The sequence below is a fragment of the Homo sapiens genome, chromosome 9 (assembly GCF_000001405.40).
Source record: "Homo sapiens chromosome 9, GRCh38.p14 Primary Assembly".
Classification (NCBI taxonomy): Eukaryota; Metazoa; Chordata; class Mammalia; order Primates; family Hominidae; genus Homo; species Homo sapiens.
Genome location: NC_000009.12, coordinates 27,684,949 through 27,695,920, shown reverse-complemented (window position 1 = coordinate 27,695,920; position 10,972 = coordinate 27,684,949).

Genomic DNA, 10,972 nt, shown 5'->3' with positions numbered 1-10,972 from the left:
TGTTCCTATTTCTCCACATCCTCTCCAGCACCTGTTGTTTCTTGACTTTTTAATGATCGCCATTCTAACTGGTTTGAGATGGTATCTCATTGTGGTTTTGATTTGCATTTCTCTGATGGCCAGTGATGATGAGCATTTTTTCATGTGTTTTTTGGCTGCATAAATGTCTTCTTTTGAGAAGTGTCTGTTCATGTCCTTCGCCCACTTTTTGATGGGGTTGTTTGTTTTTTTCTTGTAAATTTGTTGGAGTTCATTGTAGATTCTGGATATTAGCCCTTTGTCAGATGAGTAGGTTGCAAAAACTGTCTCCCATTTTGTAGGTTGCCTGTTCACTCTGATGGTAGTTTCTTTTGCTGTGCAGAAGCTCTTTAGTTTAATTAGATCCCATTTGTCAATTTTGGCTTTTGTTGCCATTGCTTTTGGTGTTTTAGACATGAAGTCCTTGCCCATGCCTATGTCCTGAATGGTAATGCCTAGGTTTTCTTCTAGGGTTTTTATGGTTTTAGGTCTAACGTTTAAGTCTTTAATCCATCTTGAATTGATTTTTGTATAAGGTGTAAGGAAGGGATCCAGTTTCAGCTTTCTACATATGGCTAGCCAGTTTTCCCAGCACCATTTATTAAATAGGGAATCCTTTCCCCATTGCTTGTTTTTCTCAGGTTTGTCAAAGATCAGATAGTTGTAGATATGCGGCGTTATTTCTGAGGGCTCTGCTCTGTTCCATTGATCTATATTTCTGTTTTGGTACCAGTACCATGCTGTTTTGGTGACTGTAGCCTTGTAGTATAGTTTGAAGTCAGGTAGTGTGATGCCTCCAGCTTTGTTCTTTTGGCTTAGGATTGACTTGGAGATGCGGGCTCTTTTTTGGTTCCATATGAACTTTAAAGTAGTTTTTTCCAATTCTGTGAAGAAAGGCATTGGTAGCTTGATGGGGATGGCATTGAATCTGTAAATTACCTTGGGCAGTATGGCCATTTTTACGATATTGATTCTTCCTACCCATGAGCATGGAATGTTCTTCCATTTGTTTGTATCCTCTTTTATTTCCTTGAGCAGTGGTTTGTAGTTCTCCTTGAAGAGGTCCTTCACATCCCTTGTAAGTTGGATTCCTAGGTATTTTATTCTCTTTGAAGCAATTGTGAATGGGAGTTCACTCATTATTTGGCTCTCTGTTTGTCTGTTGCTGGTGTATAAGAATGCTTGTGATTTTTGCACATTGATTTTGTATCCTGAGACTTTGCTGAAGTTGCTTATCAGCTTAAGGAGATTTTGGGCTGAGACAATGGGGTTTTCTAAATATACAATCATGTCGTCTGCAAACAGGGACAATTTGACTTCCTCTTTTCCTAACTGAATACCCTTTATTTCCTTCTCCTGCCTAATAGCCCTGGCCAGAACTTCCAACACTATGTTGAATAGGAGTGGTGAGAGAGGGCATCCCTGTCTTGTGCCAGTTTTCAAAGGGAATGCTTCCAGTTTTTGCCTATTCAGTATGATATTGGCTGTGGGTTTGTCATAGATAGCTCTTATTATTTTGAAATATGTCCCATCAATACCTAATTTATTGAGAGTTTTTAGCATGAAGGGTTGTTGAATTTTGTCAAAGGCTTTTTCTGCATCTATTGAGATAATCATGTGGTTTTTGTCTTTGGCTCTGTTTATATGCTGGATTACATTTATTGATTTGCGTATATTGAACCAGCCTTGCATCCCAGGGATGAAGCCCACTTGATCATGGTGGATAAGCTTTTTGATGTGCTGCTGGATTCGTTTTGCCAGTATTTTATTGAGGATTTTTGCATCAATGTTCATCAAGGATATTGGTCTAAAATTCTCTTTTTTTGTTGTGTCTCTGCCTGGCTTTGGTATCAGAATGATGCTGGCCTCATAAAATGAGTTAGGGAGGATTCCCTCTTTTTCTAATGATTGGAATAGTTTCAGAAGGAATGGTACCAGTTCCTCCTTGTACCTCTGGTAGAATTCAGCTGTGAATCCATCTGGTCCTGGACTCTTTTTGGTCGGTAAGCTATTGATTATTGCCACAATTTCAGATCCTGTTACTGGTCTATTCAGAGATTCAACTTCTTCCTGGTTTAGTCTTGGGAGAGTGTATGTGTCGAGGAATTTATCCATTTCTTCTAGATTTTCTAGTTTATTTGTGTAGAGGTGTTTGTAGTATTCTCTGATGGTAGTTTGTATTTCTGTGGGATTGGTGGTGATATCCCCTTTATCATTTTTTATTGCATCTATTTGATTCTTCTCTCTTTTTTTCTTTATTAGTCTTGCTAGCGGTCTATCAATTTTGTTGATCCTTTCAAAAAACCAGCTCCTGGATTCATTAATTTTTTGAAGGGCTTTTTGTGTCTCTATCTCCTTCAGTTCTGCTCTGATCTTAGTTATTTCTTGCCTTCTGCTAGCTTTTGAATGTGTTTGCTCTTACTTCTCTAGTTCTTTTAATTGTGATGTTAGGGTGTCAATATTAGATCTTTCCTGCTTTCTCTTGTAGGCATTTAGTGCTATAAATTGCCCTCTACACACTGCTTTGAATGCGTCCCAGAGATTCTGGTATGTTGTGTCTTTGTTCTCGTTGGTTTCAAAGAACATCTTTATTTCTGCCTTCATTTCGTTATGTACCCAGTAGTCACTCAGGAGCAGGTTGTTCAGTTTCCATGTAGCTGAGTGGTTTTGAGTGAGATTCTTAATCCTGAGTTCTAGTTTGATTGCACTGTGGTCTAAGAGATAGTTTGTTATAATTTCTGTTCTTTTACATTTGCTGAGGAGAGCTTTACTTCCAAGTATGTGGTCAATTTTGGAATAGGTGTGGTGTGGTGCTGAAAAAAATGTATATTCTGTTGATTTGGGGTGGAGAGTTCTGTAGATGTCTATTAGGTCCGCTTGGTGCAGAGCTGAGTTCAATTCCTGGGTATCCTTGTTGACTTTCTGTCTTGTTGATCTGTCTAATGTTGACAGTGGGGTGTTAAAGTCTCCCATTATTAATGTGTGGGAGTCTAAGTCTCTTTGTAGGTCACTCAGGACTTGCTTTATGAATCTTGGTGCTCCTGTATTCGGTGCATATATATTTAGGATAGTTAGCTCTTCTTGTTGAATTGATCCCTTTACCATTATGTAATGGCCTTCTTTGTCTCTTTTGATCTTTGTTGGTTTAAAGTCTGTTTTATCAGAGACTAGTATTGCAAACCCTGCCTTTTTTTGTTTTCCATTTGCTTGGTAGATCTTCCTCCATCCTTTTATTTTGAGCCTATGTGTGTCTCTGCATGTGAGATGGGTTTCCTGAATACAGCACACTGATGGGTGTTGATTCTTTATCCAATTTGCCATTCTGTGTCTTTTAATTGGAGCATTTAGTCCATTTACATTTAAAGTTAATATTGTTATGTGTGAATTTGATCCTGTCATTATGATGTTAGCTGGTTATTTTGCTCGTTAGTTGATGCAGTTTCTTCCTAGTCTTGATGGTCTTTACATTTTGGCATGATTTTGCAGTGGCTGGTACCGGTTGTTCCTTTCCATGTTTAGCGCTTCCTTCAGGAGCTCTTGTAGGGCAGGCCTGGTGGTGACAAAATCTCTCAGCATTTGCTTCTCTGTAAAGTATTTTATTTCTCCTTCACTTATGAAGCTTAGTTAGGCTGGATATGAAATTCTGGGTTGAAAATTCTTGTCTTTAAGAATGTTGAATATTGGCCCCCACTCTCTTCTGGCTTGTAGGGTTTCTGCCGAGAGATCCGCTGTTAGTCTGATGGGCTTCCCTTTGAGGGTAACCCGACCTTTCTCTCTGGCTGCCCTTAACATTATTTCCTTCATTTCAACTTTGGTGAATCTGACAATTATGTGTCTTGGAGTTGCTCTTCTCGAGGAGTATCTTTGTGGCGTTCTCTGTATTTCCTGAATCTGAACGTTGGCCTGCCCTGCTAGATTGGGGAAGTTCTCCTGGATAATATCCTGCAGAGTGTTTTCCAACTTGGTTCCATTCTCCCCATCACTTTCAGGTACACCAATCAGACGTAGATTTGGTCTTTTCACATAGTCCCATATTTCTTGGAGGCTTTGCTCATTTCTTTTTATTCTTTTTTCTCTAAACTTCCCTTCTCGCTTCATTTCATTCATTTCATCTTCCATTGCTGATACCCTTTCTTCCAGTTGATCGCATCGGCTCCTGAGGCTTCTGCATTCTTCACGTAGTTCTCGAGCCTTGGTTTTCAGCTCCATCAGGTCCTTTAAGCACTTCTCTGTATTGGTTATTCTAGTTATACATTCTTCTAAATTTTTTTCAAAGTTTTCAACTTCTTTGCCTTTGGTTTGAATGTCCTCCCGTAGCTCAGAGTAATTTGATCGTCTGAAGCCTTCTACTCTCAGCTCGTCAAAGTCATTCTCCATCCAGCTTTGTTCCGTTGCTGGTGAGGAACTGCGTTTCTTTGGAGGAGGAGAGGCGCTCTGCTTTCTAGAGTTTCCAGTTTTTCTGTTCTGTTTTTTCCCCATCTTTGTGGTTTTATCTACTTTTGGTCTTTGATGATGGTGATGTATAGATGGGTTTTTGGTGTGGATGTCCTTTCTGTTTGTTAGTTTTCCTTCTAACAGACAGGACCCTCAGCTGCAGGTCTGTTGGAATACCCTGCCGTGTGAGGTGTCAGTGTGCCCCTGCTGGGGGGTGACTCCCAGTTAGGCTGCTCGGGGGTCAGGGGTCAGGGACCCACTTGAGGAGGCAGTCTGCCGGTTCTCAGATCTCCAGCTGCGTGCTGGGAGAACCACTGCTCTCTTCAAAGCTGTCAGACAGGGACATTTAAGTCTGCAGAGGTTACTGCTGTCTTTTTGTTTGTCTGTGCCCTGCCCCCAGAGGTGGAGCCTACAGAGGCAGGCAGGCCTCCTTGAGCTGTGGCGGGCTCCGCCCAGTTCGAGCTTCCCGGCTGCTTTGTTTACCTAAGCAAGCCTGGGCAATGGCGGGCGCCCCTCCCCCAGCCTCACTGCCGCCTTGCAGTTTGATCTCAGACTGCTGTGCTAGCAATCAGCGAGACTCGTGGGCGTAGGACTCTCCAAGCCAGGTGCCGGATATAATCTCATGGTGCGCCGTTTTTTAAGCCCGTCGGAAAAGCGCAGTAGTCGGGTGGGAGTGACCCAATTTTCCAGGTGCCGTCCATCACCCCTTTCTTTGACTAGGAAAGGGAACTCCCTGACCCCTTGCGCTTCCCAAGTGAGGCAGTGCCTCGCCCTGCTTCAGCTCACGCACGGTGCACGCACCCACTGACCTGCGCCCACTGTCTGGCACTCCCTAGTGAGATGAACCCGGTACCTCAGATGGAAATGCAGAAATCACCGTCTTCTGCGTCGCTCACGCTGGGAGCTGTAGACCGGAGCTGTTCCTATTTGGCCATCTTGGCTCCTCCCCGGTAACTCCTTTTATTATTTTAGATTACAAAACTGTGGCCATTTGACATACCATCTGGGAAAACTTCATTGGTTCGGTTACTTGCTAAAATGTTAGGCATATCTTTTCAAACACGATGATCAAACTCACCTGCATAATACAGATGATTATGTTTACAAGACCAAGTTTAGTGATAAAATCAGATAAATGCATGCATTAGCTCATTAATCCTCATAAAAATCTCTGTACAGAAACCACAATTATATCCCAGTTTACAGAATAGTAAAACTGGGACTCAGAAAAAGAAGTAACCAGCCCGATGTTACACAACGAGTTAGTGGTGGCATCAAGTCTGCAATGCAAGGGGCTGACTCCATCACTTTCATTCTTACCTGCTACTCTCTTCTGCCTCCCAACTTTACTGAAACAAACCGCTGAACATACGAATTACCTATGAAATATTACCAAGGTTCTATATAGCACTAAAGATTTTTTTTAGCTTGGAAATGAGTATTTCGTATATACTCAACATCATTATTTTGGCTAGATTATATGATGAAATCCTAACTTTTGAATGCTCTCCCTGAATTTTTCCCTTTATCTTTCAAATTGCTAACTTCTTTAATTCATTACTTCAGAGATGATAAGCAGTGTAAGTTTTTCAAAGACTAAACCCTTGGGGGCGTTGCCAGATATAATCCCAAATCCCCAGTTAAATTTGAATTTCAAATGACAAATCGTTTTTTAAATGTAAGTATGTCCCATGCAATATTTGGACCATATTTCTAATAAAAAATATTTGTCATTTATCTGAAATTCAAATTTAACTAGGCATCTTTTATTTTTACTTGCTAAGCCTGACAACTCTTTTCTTGGGAAAACTTAGTTTATGGAAGAACTAAAAGGAAAGAAGGAGATTAGCACAGCAGAATATCTTAGAAAAACCAGGAGGGAAAGTTCTAGGCAGTTGAATCAAAAGCATCCTGGTAAGAACTTCCATTGTTTCAATGTAGCAAGGATAACTGTAAAACTAAGATATAACTGAGAAGCCCAATTTCAAAGGCTGGGCCAAAATGAAAGCATTGTGGACAAAGAGAAAAGCTAGAAAAGCTATTAAATAGGGAAAATTTGAATATCTACTGGACTTTAATGAGGAAAAGTAATGCTAAATTCCAACTTATGAGGACTGAAATAGCTTATGAACCCTCTTCTTCAGACATGACTATCCCAAAAGATGAAGCAGGTAGAGGGGATTATGAGACCAAATTCTGAGCAAAAGATTTGAAATGCTGATTGTATGGCCTGTGCCTCGCCCTGAACAAAAAACCAGGGAAACTGCGATGAAGATCACACTGCTCCTGCTTTTCAGGCACTTGGATTCTGGCAGGCCAAAGTAAAAGGTAAACAAGCAATTTCAACACTAGAGTTTCCCATACACGATGAAAATCCTCACAGGATTAACTGTCTAGAAAGTGACCAGAAAACTACACAAAGGAAATTGCTTCCGAGAGAGAGGTCTTGAAGAACAAGCCCGCGTTTGCCAAGGGGACAGTGTTGAGAAGGGCAGCCCCTTTGGGGTGTGTTTGATATTTCTGGAACACACAACAGAGAAAGAGAAGTGGGCTGAAACCAGAACATAAGAGACCTAAGATGCACAAAGGCTGCTGAAACTTTACTGTACCCACAAATAATCCAGGGATCTCATTAAAATGCAGGTTCTAAATACATTGCAGGTACAGCCTCCGAGATTCTGCACATCTAATAAGTTGCATTTAACAGGTGATGCAAATGCTTCTGGTCTGAAAATCGACTTGGAGTAGTATTAACTTAAAAATCACAAGACCTTCAAATTTGGAAAAGGAGACTTTATTTCTTATAAAGGGTTAGGGCCTGCAAGGTGGCCACCCCACAGGCTAGTAAGCATGTCTTCAGCAAAGATGGGAGACAGGGACTTGGAGGGAGAAACGGGTATGACAGGAATTTAAGCGGAACAGTTTGGTCAAGTACACATGTTCAGCAGGTTAAAAGAGGAGCTATGAGTATTAATGACTGTGGTCCTGGAACATGCATAGTGAGCAAACATACATGTAACAGATGACCCATGTTCATCTTGGGGTGGAGAGTTAACATTTAAATGTACACAATTAGGCCCTATCCTTCAAAAGGTAAAACAGGGACACAAAGGCATTTGAGTGTGCAGCCTCTGTAAACTGGCCAGAACCAGTCCATGGTCAGTGGTCTCATTATGAGGAGGAAGTTTCTGAAATCAGTCTCTTGTCCAATCAAAGCTATAGTTATAGCTGGTAGAACAGGAGCTGGGAGTCAGTTCAGTGTCTGGTGAAGCGACAAATTGTTTTAATATTGTTTATCTGGAGGCCAGTGATTGTTTAGCTGCTAGAGAAAAAGAAAAATATTGTGGCAATTAGAACATAGTTTCTTCTTTAAGTGTAGGGGGAGTGTGACCTAACGCTTGCCTGGCATAGCCATAGGTTCCATTTATAATTTGGCATTTTATTGACAGAGTCTGTTTTGTTAATCTTATAATCACTTTAATGCTGATCAGTTGTGGCTAAACTCAGAAAGGGAAGGGGTATAAACAGGCATGTCTGACCTCCTTTCCCATCATGGTTGGTAATTTAGTTTTTAAGGGTTTATTGGGTCCTCTTGGCCAAGAGGTGTTCATTTAGTCAGTAGGGGCTTAGGATTTTATTTTTAGTTTACAGTAGGAAGGCTGTATGCCACATTTTGGACCTTGAACCTTTCCAGCCAGCAATGGGGAGCCATCCTGTGGCTTTTCTAGCCTGAGAGGATCTAGAATTCGAAAAGAGCTAGACGCAGACAGAAGACTATTTCTATGATCCAGTAGAGAAAAAGCCGTTTCCTAAACTAAAGAGAAGACAATGAATTGAGTAATACTGAAAAGGTAAAGTTAACATGACTTGGTGTTCAATGGAGACACAGATAAAGGAGACTTGGCAGGAGATGATAGTCTATGAGGAAACTAAGCTTTTTTTTTTGGCAAAATTATAGGATATGATTTGAGGGATGTAACACTTATCTAGCATTTAGGATGTCCTACTGTGATTAATTTTGACACCCTTTTTACCACAAGATATTACTTTTTTAAAATGACGACTTGAGTTTTAAATGTATTGTAGATTCAGTCACATTACTTTAAGGTAGCTCCTGATATATGTCCTGTCTTTCCAAATAGTGTAAATTTTTCTCAGGCAGGAATTGGGTTCCTTATGTCCCTGGCACTGAGCACAAGACTTCCTCTTTGATTGCAGTTTTATTATACACAGACAACCCATTCCTGATCAAACACTTGGCTTCATAAATACGAAAGCATGGGAAAATCCCAAAGCATCAGTCCCAATAGTTTCATCCTCTATTTTCCCTCTTCTCATTTTAAAAATCTGAAATAATGTAAGATTTCAATGCCAATACTACAACAGAGAGCTCATTCATTTCTCAAGTTCTGGAATAACATCCTGAGTTACAGATCTTGGTGGTCCTTCTTAATGACTGATTAGAGTTCTTGTCTTTACCTCCTACTGATGATTACTTGTTTTGATAAGATGCTGAGTGCATTGACTTAGTACCTGTGTTAATTGCTTTATCCTGTTAGAATCTGATTTTCAGTGTGTTGAAAAGTTAGCTTAAGCCAGTGGTTCTCAGCCCTGGCTACACATTAATATCGCCTGGGATCCTTTGTAAAAGAGCAATGCCCAGGCTCCACCCCCAGGGATTCTAATGTAATTGGACCAAGGTGGATCCCAGGTATCAGTATGGTTTGAAAGCTCTGCAGTTGATTCTCATGTACAGCCAAGTTTGAGAACCACTGACTGAAACAAACCTAAATGGGTATTTCATTTTTCTGAATTCAGCTGCCGCTATCACACCAGTCGACCCAAGAAAAAGTGAATGAAAACTTTGATCATCTCATGTAAGTCTATCTAAAGAAATCTGACCTATCAGGAACACCAATAAGAATGAGGAAAGAATCCAAACCATCAAAAAAGTTGGTATGAAGTCTGTACAGAAATGTGCTAAAGTAGAGAGCTAGATTTGATGATTTTTAGAAACAAAAAAAACAGCTCTATTATTTTAGTGGTTACACGACATTGGAGAAGTTATTCTTGCATCTCAGTTTCCTCATCTGCCAAGTATGCATAAGTCTTCCTCATGAAGTTGTTAAATAGATTTAATGAAGGTCCTGTATTAATATACTTAGGAAATAGTTTGCTCACATTTCAACTTCTTTTGAAATTCCTACATCACTCAAGGCATACTATATTTCTCTTTTGCCACATTCTCAGCATTTGAAGGATTATTTTAACTAGTTAATCTAAGAGCATTTGCAACTTAATTTTATTTTTCTAATGAGTGCTTATCAAATATGTAGCACGATATAAATGAGTACATTGTAACTTTGTGGATATCTTAATCTCATGTGCATATTTTAAAATACTTTTATTTTCAAGGTAAGTCAACAAAGAAGTGCTAACCAAGAAAAAATAATCTGTCACACCCAACACTAGTGCCCAGTGTTATGGGTCACTGAACACTAATATTCATTGGGCAGGTTGATCACTTGACAAAGTGTCCTATCTCTGAAGAAGCCAGCACCTGGCTAGAGACCCACCTGCCACAATAAGCCAGGGGTTAAGGGTTTGAGCCACAGAGGCTGACCATATGAGAGCAGCTGGGTAGGCATAATCCCATGCCAATGGTAACAGACAGGTCTATGTTCTCAAGAGGCCCAGCAGGCTTCTAACCAGGTGAAGTAATACAACAATTCCTCACCAATGCCAACCACACCAAGTTGTGAAATAGCATGGCTTTGTGTTTCTATGTAAAATCATTAGATCCCACTCTTTTAAAATTCTGTTCTGTTCAATCCTCTTACAAAAATATGAAGTATGCCTGATTTTCATACCACAACTTCAGATGTTCAAAACTAGAGCTTTTTCTTAATAACTGAAGTTGATTTCTATCTCAAGCCCTTCATATTTCCTGATAGACAATTGATCTGGTCACTTCCAAGTAAACCCAACCACTTCAGTAATTTCTTGTTTCAGCATTACACTGAATCAGATTGTGAACTTTCCCCTTTCTCCCTTCTCTCTGCAGTTAATTCTAACTCAAGTGCTTACACAGTGATGTAGTATATATGAGAAAGTGTCTCTGTGGTTGTCCAGAGTTGACAACTCCTGATATATGCAATCATAACATCTTATACTTAGTGTTAACCCCCAAATGGGCTTCCACTGAAAGTGGCCAAATCCCAGAACTCATCTGGGTCTCAGATTGAATGGTTCACACCACCACTCGTGGTTGCATCCCCTTGTCATGACCTTGAGAACACTTTGGAAATCCAGATTTCTGCATCTGCTGAAAAGTTTACTTTTATTAGGGACATGTGGTAGTTGCTACCCTTCTTCTTGGGGCAATAGAACAATTAGGATCTGTGAACAAGCCCTCTCTTTGACACCAGTGCAGTAATTTCAGCTCTACTACCCCATGCTGAGTGGCCTGAGATCTTTGTGTGTCTCTCCCTTCCAGCCACCCAGATGGGAAACAGAACAC